Raw genomic sequence first — 19548 nt, 5'->3', positions numbered from 1 at the left:
CAGTTGCCTCCAAGGGACCAGGACCAGGCTAAGGGTTTCAGATTCTTTGGATGAGAAAAGGTATGAGACTAATAAACCCCTGCCTCTTATTGCAGTATCAGTCATCTCTCACTAACCTAACTTGTTATGCTAAAAGACCCTTCCTTCCTGCTAGAGAAAGGAAAAGATGGAAGTGGGTGGTGAGGACAGAGCATCCCCCAGCTACATTATGTAATAAAACCTGACTTTTTAGGCAGTTAACATGTGCTAAGTACTATTCTAATTGCTTGATATGTAACTCACTGAATCTTCACATCAATACTATGAGGAAATTGAGGTCCAGGGAGTTCAAGTCATTTACTAGCCCAAGGTCATACTCGCCCAAGGTTAGCAAGTAGCACAGCAAGAGTTCCAACCCAAGCCATCTCACCCTGGGAGGCCCTATCTTGTCATGTTGTCTTTTCCAAAGATGGCAGCATCAAAATAGATATCTCATCCCACATGACATTTTACAATGTATTGTGATACCCCTTCATCCGGCAGGGGGGTCTATGTTTCCTCTCTTTGAACCTGGGTAGACTCTGCTAAGTGTCTTGACCAAGAGAAACTGAAGGAAGTGATGCTGTGTGACTTCCAAGGACAGATTATAAAAGGCAATATAATTTCGGCCCAGCTCTCCTTCTTTCTTGAAACACTTCCCCTTAGAATCCAGCCACCATGTTGTAAGGAAGCTCATGCCACATGGAAAGGCCCTACATGGTTTGTTCTGGCTGACAGCCCCAATAAGGCTTCCAATCAAGAGCCAGCATCAACCACCAGAAACGTGAGTAAATGGGCTTTTAGATTATTCCAGGCTCTAGGTTTTGAGTCTTTCCCCTGAGGCTGTAGACACCAGTGAGCAGACACAAGCTGAACTTACTGTGCCCTGTTCGAATTCCTGATCCACAAAAATTTTGAGAGATAATAAATGATTACCATTGCTCGAAACCACTAGGTTTTGGGCTAATTTGTTACATAGCCAGAGCATGGGAATGGTGCTCCTAACTATTACAGTAAGACTAGCATATGCTTTCAGCAGCTCTCCATCCCCATCTTTATCCTGACTGACTCAGGCAGCACCAAGCTTAAGGTTGCCATGGGAGAAATTTTGCATAGATTTTTCTTGGTCCAACTCCTTCCAGGGAATTAGTCCCATTAGACTTTCTATTGTTTAAGTCTTTACATTTTCCTCAGTCTTCACAGGTCTTTTCTTGGGGAATGAGAAGAGGTTGCCTCAGAGCCTGTAAGCCAAATGCCATTTTAAGCCAGATGTTAAATTGGCCTCTAATAGGAAAGTGTAGCCCTTCCTTCAATAATTGTTGAGTAAGGACTTGCTGAGACCAGTGCTGGGCTTTGTCCAAGTGCGTTTTTCAGGCAAGAGAAACTGTACAATAATATTCTTTTTATAAAAAGTAGAAATGTGCCATGTGCTTAAAAACTTGACCATTAGATCTTCTCTATACTGCTCTGTTCTGAAAAAAGAAAAAGAAAGATGGAGGTGGTAGGTGGGGAATTAGCTAACCAAAAGAAAAATATAAAGGCCCAAGAACCAAGTGAGAGCAATCTGCTGATGTTAAACTGGATTGCAGGAGATTCAGAATGTTTATTTGCAAGGCTTTGGACTCTAAGCTTGTTCCCCAACCCCCACCCCACTTCCAGAGCTTTTGTACATCTTTAGAGTTTCGTCATCAGATATAAGTAAGGTTCGCTTCTTTTAGCCCTCTGCTCAGATTTCTTTATAAAATGTTGATAGGTGATGATACACTTTCAATGGTTTTGTGGGGAAATAGGGAGTAAAGATGTTAGCAGATAATCTTCTCCCACTAATATAAGGCAAATCTGTGTGCCAGTTTCACATGGATTTTAATGCCCAAATAGGCACCTCTAGGTTTACTCTATTCGTTTATTTTATATCCCAGGTTGGAGAGTTGTACTCCTGGATAAATTACCTCCTGAAATCCTGTGTATGTCTCTTTATACATATTCTTACACCCTCACAGGTCATAAGACTGGAGGGGAAGGGAAGAGGACAACTAGAAAAGGCAAGTAGACCAAAATTAAATGCGTGAATACCCTGGTTTAAGTTTTTAAAGATTCAGTATCACTGTACTGGCTCAGGGTCCCAACAGGGGCAGATGGCACATGCAAAATGAGATTGAGGAGGAGGTTTTATTTGCAAAGAGTCTGTTTACAGTGGTATGAGTGTAGGGAACCACAGGGGATAGTGCATAAATTGGGGACTCGCACTAGTGAAGTTGTCATCACCCATAGGCCTAATGGGGACACAGAGGCTACTGGAACTTAGAGTCATGTAGAACAGGCTGCTTTGACCTTCTGTCATGAGATAGTTGTGAAAAGAGGGGACCAGGGGAATGAGTACCCTGATCTTACTCTCCTCCCTCTGTTTTATCTGCTGGAACTTTCCATTGGCCACCTACCTGAAAGCCAGAGGTCCAGGAGGTTATGGAACTAGCATATAGAAATAGTTCCTGGGGCACATAGCAGGATATGGAAGGAGAGTAGAGCCTGGGGGTTAAAAGGGAACAATCCATCACAATTGCCATCCCACACATAGAAAAGTTTTTTCAAAAGCAGAGAATGCTTGCTTGGAGACAGTGCTAAACATTATTAAGAATGCCTAAAAAGTACAAATGCAACTTTAAACCAAATACAGATTCTAGAAAGACATTTACAAGAGCCCAAGGTTTATCACTCATCCCTTGGCTCAAATATAATTGAGTACTCTGGGTGTGTAGCAATAAACACCATTCCGATTTATCTCCATGTGGTTGATCTTCACAGTGATAGCAACTACACTATAAACTCCTGGGCATTGTGCCTCAGTAAGTGATCATTTTAAGATATAAGTCCAATAAAATTTCTTTTCTCTTAACCACCCTCCCTCATGGCTTGGAATAAAAACTATAGTCTTTACAATGGCTTACAAGACGCTCGATGATAAGCCCCTGGCTACTTCTCTGTACTTAACCACTACTGCTATTCTCTCTCTTGTCTTCTTGACTCCAGCCAAACGAGTTCAAACACATCCATTATAATCTGCCCCAGGGCCTTTGCACTTGTTTTCACCACTCTTTCCCGAATACAATGTGACTCACTCCCTCACTTTTATGGGTATTCAGATGCCACCTTTGGAGAAGCCTGTCTGACAACACTGTGTAAAATAGTAACTATAACAAACGTCTTTCCAAAAATGGCCATACCAATATTTCCAGTCCCACATGATCTTCTGGAAATTGCCACTTGCCATTAACAGGTGGAGTCTGTTTTCCCTCCCCTTGGGAAAGACTTGCAACTATCTCAGCAAATAGAATGTAGTATAAATAATGCTGTGGACTTACAAAACTAGGTCATAAAAGGTGATATGGCTTCCTTCTGATGCTCTCTTTTTTTGGGAAATTGGCTCTTGGAACTCACCCACCATTTTGTAAAGACGCCAAGGCCACATGAATAGACCACATATAGATGTTTCATTCAGCAACCCTAGCTGAGGTCTCAGGAATAGCCATCATCAACCAGCAGACATGGAAGTGAGTGAGACATCAAGTGGTTCCAGCCCACAGCCTTCAAGCTACCCCAGCCAAGGCCAATGGAGTAGACAGAAGCTATCTCTACCAAGACCTATCTATGTTATAGATTCATGAGTAAAATAAATGATTATTTATGCCACGTTTTCTGGAGTAATTGCTTTACAGCCATAGCTGTAACCATATTTTTTGTGTCGTATTTTTTGTGTCAAATAAGATGTGGTGGCAATAAAAAACCATGTGAGAGTGGCTTTGGGACCAAGTAGTGGGCAGAAAAGGACTCTAAGGAGAATGTTAGTGAAAGTCTAAAGGATCTTAAAGAGGCTATTAGAGGAAGCCTCATAACCCTTGATGAAGCTGTTAATTAGGGCTTAATTAAAAGTGAGGAAAATGTTATTGGAAACTGGGAGAAAGGAAATCCTTGTTAGTAGTGAGAGAAAGTTTAGCAACATTGTTCCCACAATAATTTAGAAAATCGAAGACATTCCTAATTAATCAGATGATCTAGCTAAAGAAGTTTCAGGCAGAATACTAAAAGTGCCTCTTGGCTTCTTCACATTGTCTGTAATAAATACAAGAGGAAAAAGATGACCTTTTTAAAAAGGAATTATTTACTCTTCAAGTAAAATTTAGAGAAAATTTAGGAGCCAGGACTTGCAGTGTTCAAAAATAAAACTCTTTTTTAATCCCATCCTCTCTAATATTCTGAAATTAAGAGAGGGCTTCAGAGCAAAGATTAAAGACTATGCCCATAATATTATTTGTTAAAACCTCAGAAATACCTAGGACACTGCCTCAAGAACTGTTTTGTTGAGACCAAGGGACCTCTAAAGATCTTCAAGAAGTGCTTCTAGATTCTCTCTGTTAACTACTAGAACTCTTAAGAATTTAAGGAGCACTGTCCTTCTGCAGCTTTATAGCAAGCCCAAGGTGGAAAATCTTGGCGAGATTTGTGGATGTAGCTTTTGTCTGATGGAGTGTATCAGAAATCAATTCATAAGAAACCCACAGGGTTTTTAAAAGAATTATATCAGCTTACATGGAAAGATGATTTAATCAACATTTTACATGCAGGAAGCTGACTGAGAAAACTATTCAACTGCAAAATGGGCCACTTTTTATTGAAAAGGAAAGAGGATATGGAGGGCATAACGCAGAGCCACAGTGAATTATATCCAGGCAGTAGGACTGCACCCTCACCAAGGAACTGGCAACGGGAACCCTGCTGGATTTCAAAATGGTTACAGATTCCTGAGTGCCTCCTGTTTTTGAAGAGGAGGCTGGGTGGTAGTTACCCTATGCCTGTTTCACCATTACATGTTGCATCTCTAGGGAGAAAGCAAATTGTTTCTTTTTTTGAGGTAGAGTTTCACTCTTGTCCCCCAGGCTGGAGTGCAGTGGCGAGATCTCGGCTCACTGCAACCTCCGCCTCCCAGGTGCAAGTGATTCTCCTGCCTCAGGCTCCCAAGTAGCTGGGATTACAGGTGCCCGCCATCACGCCCAGCTAATTTTTTTATTTTTTATTTTTAGTAGAGACAGGGTTTCACCACGTTGGCCAGACTCCTGACCAACTCCTGAGGTCGAACTCCTGACCTCAGGTGATCCACCCACCTCAGCCTCCCAAAATGCTGGGATCACAGGCATGAGCCACCACGCCTGGCTGCAAATTGTTTCTTGAGGTGACAAATCTTAAGATAAGCAGGAACTATCTCCAGACGCTCTCTTTGAGGAGCCAAGCTTAAGGAGCTTCAGTTGCACGTGAACGTGATCTTAATGGCAAGATCTTAGACTGTGAGCCTGAGCTTTGCAGATTCTAGGGAAGAAGGTGGGGGTTTTCTTTTGCATATGACAAGGACATAAATTATTGTGGCCAGAGGATAGACAATAGCAAAGTGTATTTTCCAAGAATAGCAACAAAAGTATTTCCGGAGCCACATAATTTTCCAGAAGCCTGCCACTTGCCATCAAGAGGTGGGGTCTATTTCTCCTCCCTTTGGACAGAACTTGAGAAACATGACACCCATATAAAAGCAATGATAAACTGTTGTTGAAATGCTTAAAAGAATACTGAAATAAATGAAGAAATATTTATGGATAGGATGCCTCAATGTCATCAAAATGTATATTATCCCCAAATTAATTTATAAATTCAAAAATTTTAAGTACCGTTTTAATAGGGACTTTTCATAGAACAAACCAAGCTTATCCTAAAGTTCATGTGGATGAGGAAACCGCTATGTAAAGTCAAGGCAGGGAAGGAGGTATTTGCACTGGCAAATAATAAGATTATAGAGCTAAAGTAATAAAAACATTGTGTAATTAAGACACAGATAGATAGACCAACAAAACAGACTTGAGAATCTGGAGATATCCCCTTGGACATATGCACACTTGATTTATGATAAATGTGGCCATACGGAGCAGTGGGGAATGACAATCTTTTCAATAAACAGTGTTGGGACATTTGGGTATCCGTAAGGAAAAAAATTAAATACAAGTTCTCCATTCTAATTCCAGGTGGATTTTAGACCTAACTGTAGGTAAAACTATAAAATTTTCAGGATATTATGTAGAAGGATGTATGAATGCCTTCGGGATATGGAAGGATTTCCTAAATAATACACAAAATGCACTAACTATAAATAGGTTGATTAAATTGACTACACTAAAATTCAGAACTTCCACTCCTCCAAGGACACCAAAAATAAGATGCAAAGAAGCTCACTGACTAGGAGGAAATATTTGCAATGTATATGAAACCCACAAATAATTATCATCCAAGATATATAAATAATCCCTTTTCATCACTAGGAATTAGGAAAATGCAAATTGAAACAAAGATAAAATACTATTCAGAGCCCTCAGGTTGGCAAAAAATTTTAGTCTGTCCACACCAAATGTAGGCAAGAATGTGGGAGAAAGAGAAATTTCAAATATGTTGATGGATTATAAATAGTTCTTTACAGAGCAACTGGGCAGTCTCTAATAAAGTTGAAGCAGCACACGGTATATACCTAGCATTTCTACTTCTAAGCATGTACCTTACAAGAAATTTCTGCATATATGCACAAAGCATCATGTTCAAGAATATTTTGTAGAGGCATTTTTTATTATAAGAAAACACTGGAAACAATCTAAATGTTCATCGGCTGGAGAATGGAAAAATAAATTTTGGTTTGTTCATACAATGGAATGTTTTATAGCAGTTAAAATAAGGGAGCTAAATTCTACATATAAACATGGGTAAGTCTCTATAATATCGAGTCAAAAATCAAGTTGCAGACTGATGTAAACAGAATAATCCACTTCTATAAAGTTTAAAGACATTCAAAGCAATACTATAGTCTGTGATACCATCTGTGTAGTAAAAGTATTAAAACATCCTTAAGAATGACAAAAATAAAATCCAGGAGAAAAACGAAGTCCATCTGGGAAAGAAAGGGAATAGGAATGAAGGAAGTAAAAGAGAGTTTCAAGCATATTTGTGATGTTTTGTTTCTTTAAAAGGAAAAGGGGTGCTATGTCAAAATGTTACGATTTCATCAAGTTTTGCTGTGGGTAAGTGAGCAGTCCATATATCATTATGCTTTTCTGCTGACATACTTTTTTAAAAAGCTTAATGGGAGTCATAAGCTTCCGTGAGCTCATATGGCTTGTGGTCTTATTTGTGGATCTAGTAATACACTTGTTATATAACTTCTGCAGACAATATTCTAAAGGTATGTATGAAATTCTGTTCATATTTTACTCTGAAGTCAAGTCTACACATTGTCACGAAAGCTCTCCCATTTTAGGTAAAATGAACAATCGGTTATTCTCCCTTTCCTGGCAGAGGAGTTTCTTTGAAATTTATCATCAGAAAATCCACTCAACAACCAGTTCAATCTACATAAGAAAGATAAGATGTAATCAAACTACCCCCCAAATTGTCTAAAGACCAGAATGAAAAGAAGATCTCAGCATATCCACTGTGGCTACTAGGCCATATTAAACATCAATTTTTGATTTTCCGGAATGAGAAGAAAGGTTGAATCATCAAAGATGACTATGGGGGCTTGCACTAAGAGTCTACAAAGTCTTCATTATTGGAAAGTTTCTAAGAGGTTAGTCCTTCTCCCTGGCTGCTTCTACATCTGGATTCACCTTACCATTTTAAGAATAAGAGTAGTACAGGATTGGATGTGATTATCTGGAAACAATAGCAAGTAGATAGCTTTGTTTTATGTTATTTCTTTCTTTGTTTTTTTCATTTTTAGATACAAAACCGGAAGATATGCTCTTTGGTTGTATTCTCTAAAAGCAAACCCTTAGGAAAGGGTTCAGGTGAAAGCAATTCATCTGGGGAGGAAATCCCAGGCAAGACAATGAAGAAGTCAGAGAATGAGACTAGGAAATGAGGAAAGGTAATATAGAAAATGTGAATGAGCAGGTTGCTGCTGTGGGCATCGGGGTCTCATTTTTGCAGAAGACTCTTTGAGAGACTACATAGAACAATCCTTACAATCGGCCCAACAAAGCATAAGGAAGCAGGGTATTTATCCACCAACTCATGATGTGATGGCTGTTCTTGGGGATTTAACTCTCCACTTCAGGCCTGGCCCTCCGTCATGTTAGCCACGCAGGCTCTTATGGGCCACAGAAAGACCTCAAGAGTTCAGAAGCCAGCTGCATGCAAGGGAATGGTACAAAAACTTCAGATGACATCCTGCATAGGCCAAAGGAATCTGCCAACAACATCTGTCAAAGCTATCTACAATACAGTACGTTGTATCATGTTTTCCCAAGCATGAGACAAGTACCACCAGTGGTTCAGGAGATGATTTTAGGTGGTTCTGGGTCATGGAATTAAATAACATTGAATTACATGGTTGGGGAGTTCTTTTCTTTTCACTTCTCTCTCAATCCTTCTGACTATCCAAAGACAACCTCTCTTTTTGGTACTAATTATGGCTTTATTATACCTCCAATCCTTGCAAGCTTCCAGTTTAAGCAGAGAGTCAGCCTTGGGCCCCAGATATTTACTGACAACCACATTTGGCCAAAATGTGCTGACATGTTCCTCTTTTCATTGTATTTACATTTCCAATTACCTTCAATCCATGGCAAGTGGTATTATTTCTTCATTACTAGCAACAATGCAAAGTTTGCTTTTTGAATAAATTTATTTCATCTTTTAAGTCAGCCAATTTAAAGAATAATATTGAGCAAATAATAGAATCATAAAGATGGTATGAAATGCTAAAATTGGGGAAATTCCATGAGCTCACGAGCTGCATATTATGATGGAAAGGATGTGACTTTGGGGAGATCACCTAACCCCTCTAAGCTTGACCCTCCCTAATATTGCAACCCTTCATTGGGTTGTTGGGAAAATTCAAATGGGATATTTGTCAGGCAACAAGCCCTCCACCTGGAAGTAATACAAAATCAGTAGATGTTAGTTCTCTTTTCTTGAAATGTTTATAAGAAAATATAGGTATTTTAAAAAATAGACCCTAGGGAATTTATTAATCAGATATCAGGACACTATTAATCAGATATTTATCAGGTTTAATGTGATTTTCTTTAGAAAAGCCCCTTTCCCATCATTTTTTCCCATCATAAGGAACTAGGTACTGCCAGCTGGGCATAGTGGCTCACGCCTGTAATCCCAGCACTTTGGGAGGCCGAGGCAGGCAGATCACTTGAAGTCAGGAGTTTGAGACCAGCCTGGCCAACATGGTAAAACCCTGTCTCTACTAAAAATACAAAAATTAGCCAGGCGTGGTGGCAAGCACCTGTAAGCTACTCAGGAGGCTGAGGCAGGAGAATCGCTTGAACCCGGGAGGCAGAGGTTGCAGCAGTGAGCCAAGATCATACCACTGCACTCCAGTCTGGACGATAGAGTGAAACTGTGACTCAAAAAGAAAGAAAAAGAGTACTGCCATTACTGGGTCCTTTTGGTCTGTTTGGAAGTGCTTATTGTGCCTTTTCTAGAGGTTGGGAAGATGACATGTACATTAGAAAGCCTACACATAGCTGGAGTAGTGGTGTGGTCACCACTTAAGACTTGCTGCAGCATGTTAATTCATTTATTTTGGTTGCAATTCTTGAAATGAACCACACTGTATAAAACTATGTTTTTTTCTATGACTTTTTCTCTCAATAGAGGAAGTAGTCACATTTTTTAAAATCCAACTAGTAGAGCAAGGGGCGCCCTAAGAGCCTTCCTCTGGTGCCAGAGGTTTTCCAGCCTTCCTCTGGTGCCAGAAGGGTGGACTTTTCAGTAGAGAAAAATTCGTCATTTTGGAAGTCTTGAGATCTGTTCTGAGAAGGTAGTTTGTCTCAGTGTTCTTTAAACGGCGAAAATGTCAATTCAGAATGCAATGTGATGTTTCTTTCATTGGGGGAGGGGGGGTATAAAAACAACATGGAAGTCTCCAAAGCATGAGTTGTTATTGTCAGGTTTGTTTCTTGTTAGAATGTTTCAGTTTGGGGTTTTTGCTTTTTAATGCTGTTTCCTCCTAACAGGGACGTATTGAAGGTTTGGCATTGTGTCTAGAAAAGCCCTTACCTGTTGGCAGGATTTTCCGGAATGTTATCTTCAGTCATTCGAAGGGATGCAATTCCTTTAATGAATATGCCACCTATGGTGAATAAAGGAAAGGTGGCCCTCAGGGAAAGTGAGGAGCTGAATGCCAGGGTGAGGAGAGGATGTAAATAACCAAGTCCTATCTGGCCTTAGGTTATTCTTGAAATTAATCAAATCCCACCACGTGGTAGACTCTTGAGCAGAAGAGATGAGCAATTGCAAAGAACATAAGAGAAAAAGTCTTGGAGCTTGCGTTTTAGTACGGGATTTTAACCTCTTCTTGCGCCATGGACTCCCATGGCAGTTTCATAAAGTCTATAGATCCTTTCTTAAAACAATATTTTCACATGTGTAAAATAAAATATGTAGAATTCACAGAAAACAAATTATATTCAAATTCAGTAACTTGCCACACTGTGCTTGACCGGTGTTACTGTGCAGTGTGTTAGCAATGTTATTTTAAAGAGCATACTTCAGTAATTATTTCAACCATCAAATGTATTTGAATGTGTCTGGTTTTTATTCTTAGCCTGCACACCTATCCTTGTTGTAAAATGCCATGTGCCCTTATAGAGAATTAAGAATTCTCATTTGAATGCCCAGTCTTACTTCAGTTTAAACAAACAATAGAAACAACTCATTCCTTCAATGTATTGATAAACATTGTAAGTAGGAAATATTAAAAAGCAATGAGGTGTCTGGGTCACCAACACGATTTGGTGACTGAATGACAACCAGGCATAGAGCCGCTCTCTAATCTGCCAGCTGCACCTCGTGAGGATCTCTAAAAAGGAAAGCTGCAGTCACACGCCATCTACCTGCATGTGCCTAATGACTACCACAATTTCAAAGCAATCAGCACAAATTATATTTCAAGGTATTGTCAACAACTGTAATGTGACAATTCCTATCAGGAAACACATCTGTAACTTCTTGTTGATAACAAGTCACAGACACTGCTAAGTCATGGGGTTTTCCATCTCTTCTCATAATTAAAGGAAATGCTCAATTTCAGTTAGAAGATAGTCAAAATAATGATACGATTATTTTCCTAGCCAAAGACCTCCTGAAATCCCAGGTTAACTCCAGGTAAATGCCCCTTGTGGAAAAGCTGGTAGTAAATAAATAATGTACAAGGCGTTGGTAAATGTAATATAGGAAAATAACACAAAGGGGGATAGAGAGAGCCAAGTGTGGGGAGGGGGAGCAATAGACAGGGAGCAATTTCTTGAGCAATGTTTGTGAATGATGAGAGTACGTGGGATTCAGTACAAAGTGGAAAAATCCATCCTAGAAAAGAACGGGAATGGTTTATCCATAGTAACAGCACAAAAGTAATAGCACAGAGCAAAAAGATAGGTGAGTAGATATTTTCTCAGTCAAACTGGACTCACAGTCTTCAGCCAACAGTGACAAGCATGGGATGCATGTTAGCAAGAGAGGAAGGTATTAACTAGTTATCTAGGCTACTCCTCTTGGGGGAAAATGGTCTGGTGTGATGGCATGAGCTGCAAAGCTTGGGGAGAGAAGAATGACCAGGAAGAGGCAACAAGCAAGGAGGATATCTGTGCCCTCCAGGTCCAGCAGCTGTGAAAAAACAAGCCACATTCGAGAGGGTTGCCCAGGAAGTGGCATCCTTAAGGGAGAGTCAGTTTTCAGTTGGAGCAAGAAGGTGAAAGGACATTCAGGGAAGAGGTGGAAGATGCGGGGGCTTTGCTGAGAATGCAGCATGAGTTCCAGGGGCGCAGAAGAGTTTACGTGTAGGGGAGGGGTGGGCAGGACCCGCATGGTGAGAGCTTTTCTGCAGTTAGTCAGCTTCATATGGTGTGTCTGACAGAAACTGAGATACGGGATAGGATGCAATTAGTCCTGATGGTTCTTCAGGCTGTCGCAGTGGTGAGCTTGTTAATATTGTTGGGAGAAATTGGGGCTTGCTGGGGGCACCTATAGCTCTGTGAAAAGGGTGTGGTTTTCATTCCTGCCAGCAGCCTGGTTATCCTCTCAGCTTCTTGGTTACAAGAGCAAGTAATTTTACTTTATCTTTTTTTCAGTATTATATTATGAATCGTTTCAACGTACAGCAGTCTAAAGACGTTTTCAGTGAATACTTAGAGGCTATCTTTTATATTTTGCCATACTTTCATGATCATATATCTGTCCACATGTCCATCCTTCTCTCAATCCATCAATCCAACTTATTTTTGATACATTTCAAAGTAAATTGCATACAGTTTACCATATATAAAATGGAACCCTTCTCAGCAATAAAAAGGAATGAGCTCCATGTAACAGCGTGGATGCATCTGAAAATTATTATGCTATATGCTATTGTGCTTCAGACGGTGTGTCTGACAGGAATACTACAGCATCCACATCACTAACTAAATACTTTAGCATCCATATGATTCAGTGGAGATCAATATTTATTTATAATTTTATCTTTTGAAGTAAAATTTATATGCCACGAAATGCACAAAACTTAGTTGCAATTTGCTAATGTTCTTGTTTTTGTTTTTGAGTCAGTGTCTCTGTTGCCCAGGCTGGAGTGCAGTGGCGTGATCACAGCTCACTGCATCATTAGCCTCCCAGGCTCAAGTGATCCTCCTGCCTCAGCCTCCTGAGTAGCTGAGATTACAGGTGTGCACCATCATGGTTGGCTAATTTTTTTTTTCTTTTTTTTTTGAGACGGAGTCTTGCTCTGTCGCCCAGGCTGGAATGCAGTGGCGCAATCTCGGCTCACTGCCAGTTCTGCCTCCCAGGTTCACGCCATTCTCCTACCTCAGCCTCCCGAGTAGCTGGGACTACAGGTGCCCACCACCACGCCTGGCTAATTTTTTGTATTTTTAGTAGAGACGGGGTTTCACTGTGTTAGCCAAGATGGTCTCGATCTCCTGACCTCGTGCTCTGCCTGCCTCGGGCTCCCAAAGTGCTGGGATTAAAGGTGTGAGCCACCATGCCCGGCCCATGCTTGGCTAATTTTTTAAACTTTTTTTTGTAGAGACAGGGTCTAGTGCCCAAACTGGTCTTGAACTCCTGGGCTCAAGCAGTCCTCCCACCGTGGCTTCCCAAAGTGCTTAGATTACAGGCATGAGCCACTACACCTGGCCTACAAGTTGCTACGTTTTGACAAATGTGTACATCTATGTAACCCAAACCCCTACAAAGATACAGAACATTACCATCACCTTGGAACGTTTCCTCTTGATCATCCCCCATCCCAAACCTCCAGAGGCAACTACTTTTCTGATATTTTTCCATAGTTTTGTCTGTTCTAAAATTTCATATGTGTGGAATCACATAGTATGTATTTTTTGTGTAAGGTTTCTCTTAGCATAGTAGTTTTTAGATACATTCATTCTGTTACATGTAACTTATTCCTCTTTGTTGCTGAGAAGTATTCCATTTATGAGGAGACTACAGTTCAGCTGTTCTTCTACTGATAGATACCTGGGATGTTTCCAGTTTTTGCCTTTTATGAAGAAAACTGCTATGAAGATTCTTGTACAAGTCTTTTGTGGACATGTGTTTTTATTGCTCTTGGGTAAATACCTACAGATTAAATGGGCCAGTGGTTAAATCTTTTTATTTCTAAAGACTAGTGTGAGTTGAGTTTTCTGTTGCTTATATCCCAATACACGCTCCCAAGATGAACTACCATAATCCACACTATCCCTAAAATGGACTGGGTCTTCAGTGGGTGCCCCTAATGCCAATTCCATTATTAAGAACAGTATTTACTATGTGTTCTTGACACATTATCCTCTTAACAAATGCAGAAGGCTTTTCTTTTTCTTTCTCTTTTTTAGCCAGGCTAGCCCCAATCTGAACCACACAACTCTGCCCTTAAAATCTCCAGGGTTCTGAATTTTCCTACCACTGAAGAGGTTTCTTTAAGGTAAAAGACCTAGCTTGAAGAAACTGAATTATTTTAAATATATTTATATTTATACACATAAATCTATATGCACATATATATATACATAGTCACATATATTTATGTGAATATTTATGTGAATATATTCACATATATTTGTACATATGTAAATATACACTTACATGTATGTAAATATACACACATATCTGTGTATTTACATACACATACATATATGCACACACCAAATCCTCGAATGTCATTCCGTTCAATGTCATTTAGCTAGGATGTCAATGAGAAAATATCACATCCCAGCCAGGGCCACTGTGTGGGGTCTGTGTGGGTTTTATCCGAGCCCTCCAGTTTCCTCCCAAACCTGTGCATGTTAGCTTAAGTGGTATATCTACATAGTCCCAGTGTGAGTGAATGTGGGTGTGTGACTATGGGTGTGTGAGTGTGCCCCATGATGGGAAGGCAGCCTGTCCAGAGTGGGTTCCTGTCATTTGCTCTGAGCTGTCAGGATGGGCTCTGGCCACCCAAGACCCTCAATTGGAATAAGTGGGTAAATCATTATCTTACTTGTTTTTATGAATCTTTCCTAAATGTATGTATAACTCACATTTATTTCAATGTTTAATATCAGAGGTGTCTTGGTCTTTATTTATAAATCTGGTGATGTTTTTGCGACCAGAAATAAGCTGTAGAAACTTAATTCTTGTTTATCAATTGGCCTATGATAAAATTATATCAAGTCATTTCCTAAGAACCTATTATCAGTGATGTTAAGGGAAGACCTACCATATATTTGTTGAGACCCTTCTGTGTACCCTGCACAATGACACTGTTCTAGGCATGTGGGATTTATCAGTGAACACAGCAGACAAAAATTGCTTCTTCTATGGAGTTTACATTCTGGCATAATGGAGAAAAACAACAACATAAAAATAATTAAGTTACATTATATTTCTAAGTGCTTTGGAAAAAAGTAAGCACACCACAGTAGGGCAGTCAGGAGTGCTGGGAGGACTGGAAAGGCAGGTGGCAGTGTTAAACAGAGTCAGGGAAGGCCTCATTGAAAAGTGAGCTGTTAGAGATGAAGGAGTGGGCCATGTGGATATCTGGGGGCAGAGGGAACTGCTAAAGCAAAGGCTCTGAGGCAAGCACATCCCTGGTATGGTCAAGAAACAGCAAGGATAAGCGGGGGTACAGGGGCGGGAATCCATCGATGAGGTCAGAATGCACAAGGTCAGGAGTATTGAGCTTGAACTCCCTGTAAGGACTTTAGCTTTTACCCTGAGTGGAGTAGGAAACCATCACAGAGTCACAGAATTTAGAACCGAGAAATAACAGTGCATCTCCCCTTTGTTGACACATGCTAGGAATTTTTACCCTGTAAATTCATTCTCAGATACTGTATTTTTAAACTAAAATGCAGAGATAGCCTGAACTCATCATTGTTTCCAAAACCAGAAAAGAGAACTTGAATCTCTCCTAGAAGAATAATAACAGCAGAAAAGAAAAATGGGAGCATGAGCCAAGTCCAAGATATCAATCTTCACAACTGCAGCTCAAGAAAGGGGGACTAGACTCACCTGAAGACGTTCTTCATGTTCTTGGAAAATATTTCAAATGGACTGAAGCAACCTTGCTCCAAGATCCCTTGGGGTTTGGAATTAGCCCAGAACTGGGATTTGTAGGCCCCGAAACACTAACTGGGACTTCCCAGAATACACTTGATGTTGATTAATGGTAAGAGGCCTCCCTGTTCTCTTCCTTTGAGTATAGGAAAACCCCTGTCTCTGGAGATCTGATCTGCTGGCTGGAAGAGTTATTCTTTATTATACTGGAGACCCTCAAGTGGTAAAAGATTCCAGCTCTCATGGAGACCTAGATTGGAGAATCTAACCCAAGGGCTAGCCAATGGCACTCACGTCACCACATCCGTACTGTTTGAGTCCAGCTGTTAAATTGGAATGGTTCCTTCTCATATTGGTCACAAGACTACCGTCTTCATGATGGAATCAACTCACCCAAAGGATGGGAAACAAACTTCCCAAGAAAGGCACTCTCTACCCCTCCAACCACGTCACTCTTAATTCAGGGCCAGAAAATCCAGCACAAACTTCTTTTATATGCAGGGGAGGCAAAACCTGACATCGAAAGCAGGTTAAAAAAAAAAAAAGAGAGAGAATGTAAGTACTATTTTGGATTACTGGACTGGCAAGATGGCTGAATAGGAACAGCTCTGGTCTGTAGCTCCCAGGGAGATCAACACAGAAGGCAGGTGATTTCTGCATTTCCAACTGAGGTGCCCAGCTCATCTCACTGGGACTGGTTAGACAGTCGGTGCAGCCCACGGAGGGCGAGCTGAAGCAGGGTGGGGCATCGCCTCAGCTGGAAAGTGCAAGGGGTCGGGGAACTCCCTCTCCTAGCCAAGGGAAGCCGTGAGGGACTGCGTTGTAAGGAATGGTGCATTCCAGCCCAGATACTATGCTTTCCTCACAATCTTCGCAACCCACAGACCAGGAGATTCCCTCAGTGCCTACACCACCAGTGCCCTGGATTTCAAGCACAAAACTGGGTGGCCATTTGGGTAGACACCAAGCTAGCTGCAGGAGTTTGTTTTCATACCCCAGTGGCGCCTGGAATGCCAGCAAAACAAAACTGTTCACTCCCTTGGAAAGGAGTCGGAAGCCAGGGAGCCAAGTGGTCTAGCTCAGCGGAACCCACCCCCACGGAGCCCAGCAAGCTAAGATCCACTGGCTTGAAATTCTCGCTGCCAGCATAGCAGTTTGAAGTCAACCTGGGATGCTCGACCTTGGTGGGGGCAGGGGCGTCTGCCATTACTGAGGCTTGAGTAGGTGGTTTTCCCCTCACAGTGTAAACAAAGCCATTGGGAAGTTCGAACTGGGCAGAGCCCACCGCAGCTTGGCAAAGCTGCTGTAGCCAGACTGCCTCTCTAGATTTCTCCTCTCTGGGCAGGGCATCCCTGAGAGAAAGGCAGCAGCTCCAGTCAGGGGCTTACAGATAAAATTCCCATCTCCCTGGCACAGAGCACCTACAGGAAGAGGCAGCTCTGGGCACAGCTTCAGCAGACTTAAATGTTCCTGCCTGCCAGCTCTGAAGAAAGCAACAGATCTCCCAGCATAGCACTCAAGCTCTGCTGGGGACAGACTGCCCCCTGAAGTGGGTCCCTGACCCCCATGCTTCCTAACTTGGAGACACCGCCCAGCAGGGGTCAACGGACACCTCACACAGAAGAGCTCTGACTGGCATCTGGCAGGTGCCACTCTGGGACAAAGCTAAGCTTCCCGAGGAAGGAACAGGCAGCAATCTTTGCTGTTCTTTTTTTTTTTTTTTTTTTGAGACAGAGTCTTACTCAGTCGCCCAGGCTGGAGTGCAGTGACGCGATCTCAGCTCACTGCAAGCTCCACCTCCTGGGTTCACGCCATTCTCCTGCCTCAGCCTCCCGAGTAGCTGGGACTACAGGCACCCACCACCATACCTGGCTAATTTTTTTTTTTTTTTGTATTTTTAGTAGAGATGGGGTTTCACTGTGTTAGCCAGGATGGTCTTCATCTCCTGACCTGGTGATCCTCCTACCTTGGCCTCCCAAAGTGCTTGGATTACAGACGTGAGCCACTGCGCCTGGCCAATCTTTGCTGTTCTGCAGCTTCTGCTGGTGATACCCAGGCAAACAGGGTCTGGAGTGGACCTCCAGCAAACTCCAGCAGACCTTCAGCAGAGGGGCCTGAATGTTAGAAGGAAAATTAACAAATGGAAAGGAATAGCATCAACATCAACAAAAAGGACATCCACACAAAAACCCCATCCGAAGGTTACCAACATCAAAGACCAAAGGCAGATAAATCCATGAACATAAGGAAAAACCAGTGCAAAAAGGCTGAAAATTCCAAAAACTGGAATGGCTTTTCTCCTCCAAAGGATCACAACTCCTCGCCAGGAAGGGAACAAAACTGAGAAGAAGTTTGACAAACGGACCAAAGTAGCCTTCAGAAAGTGGTTAATAACAAACTCCTCTGAGCTAAAGGAGCATGTTCTAACCCAATGCAAGGAAGATAAAAACCTTGAAGAAAGTTTAGAGGAATTGCCAGTTTAGAGAAGAACATAAATGACCTGATAGAGCTGAAAAACACAGCGTGAGAACTCCATGAAGCATACACAAGTACCAATAGCAGAACTGATCAAGTGGAAGAAAGGGTATCAGAGATTGAAGATCAACTTAATGAAATAAAGCATGAATACATGATTAGAGAAAAAAGTATGAAAAGGAACAAACAAAGCCTCCAAGAAATATGGGACTATGTGAAAAGACCAAACCTACATTTGATTTGTGTACCTGAAAGTGACAGGGAGAATAGAACCAAGTGGGAAAACATTCTTCAGGATATTATTCAGGAGAATTTCCCCAACCTAGCAAGACAGGACAATATTCAAATTCAGGAAATACAGAGAACACCACAAAGATACTCCTCGATAAAAGCAACCCCAAAACACATAATCCTCAGATTCACCAAGGTTGAAATGACAAAAAACATGTTAAGGGCAGCCAGAAAGGTTGGGTTACCCACAAAGGGAAGCCCATCAGACTAACAGCGGATCTCTCTGCAGAAACCCTACAAGCAAGAAGAGGTGGGGACCAATATTCAACATTCATAAAAGAATTTTCGGGGGGGCGGTTCCAAGATGGCCAAATAGGAACGGCTCCAGTCTACAGCTCCCAGCATGAGCAACGCAGAAGACTGGTGATTTCTGCATTTCCAACTGAGGTACCGGGTTCATCTCGCTGGGGCTTGTTGGACAGTGGGTGCAGGACAGTGGGAGCAGCGCACCAAGCATGAGCTGAAGCAGGGTGAGGCATTGCCTCACCTGGGAAGTACAAGGGGTCAGGGAATTCCCTTTCCTAGCCAAGCAAAGCTGTGACAGAAGGCACCTGGAAAATCGGGTCCCTCCCACCCCAATACTGCACTTTTCCAATGGTCTTAGCAAACGGCACACCAGGAGATTATATCCCGTGCATGGCTTAGAGGGTCCCACACCCACAGAGCCTCGCTCATTGCTAGCACAGCAGTCTGAGATCAAACTGCAAGGTGGCAGCGAGGCTGGGGGACAGGCACCCGCCATTGCCGAGGCTTGAGTAGGTAAACAAAGTGGCCTGGAAGCTCAATCTGGGTGGAGCCCACCACAGCTCAAGGAGGCCAGCCTGCCTCTGTAGACTCCACCTCTGGGGGCAGGGCATAGCTGAGCAAAAGGCAGCAGAAACCTCTGCAGACAAATGTCCCCATCTGACAGCTTTGAAGAGAGTAGTGGTTCTCCCAGCACGGAGTTTGAGATCTGAGAACGGACAGACTGCCTCCTCAAGTGGGTCCCTGACCCCCGAGTAGCCTAACTGGGAGGCACCCCCTCAGTAGGGGCAGACTGACACCTCACACAGCTGGGTACCCCTCTGAGACGAAACTTACAGAGGAACAATCAGGCAGCAACATTCACTGTTCAGCAATATTTGCTGTACTGCAGCCTCT

At 42.0% G+C, this 19548-nt stretch overlaps 1 long non-coding RNA gene across 1 annotated transcript in view; it reads left to right on the top strand.

Annotated features, from left to right (window-relative positions):
- Positions 1 to 8426, top strand: part of LOC105377144 (uncharacterized) — a 192342-nt gene extending 183916 nt beyond the window's left edge. Inside the window, exons 3-4 of the long non-coding RNA XR_940939.2 lie at positions 7358 to 7666; positions 7820 to 8426. This is a non-coding gene — a long non-coding RNA (uncharacterized LOC105377144). The remainder of the gene's footprint in view (positions 1 to 7357; positions 7667 to 7819) is intronic.
- The last annotated feature ends 11122 nt before the right edge of the window (positions 8427 to 19548 follow it).

This window comes from Homo sapiens, chromosome 3, assembly GCF_000001405.40.
Source record: "Homo sapiens chromosome 3, GRCh38.p14 Primary Assembly".
Lineage (NCBI taxonomy): Eukaryota > Metazoa > Chordata > Mammalia > Primates > Hominidae > Homo > Homo sapiens.
This window is presented reverse-complemented; position numbering and strand designations above follow the sequence as displayed.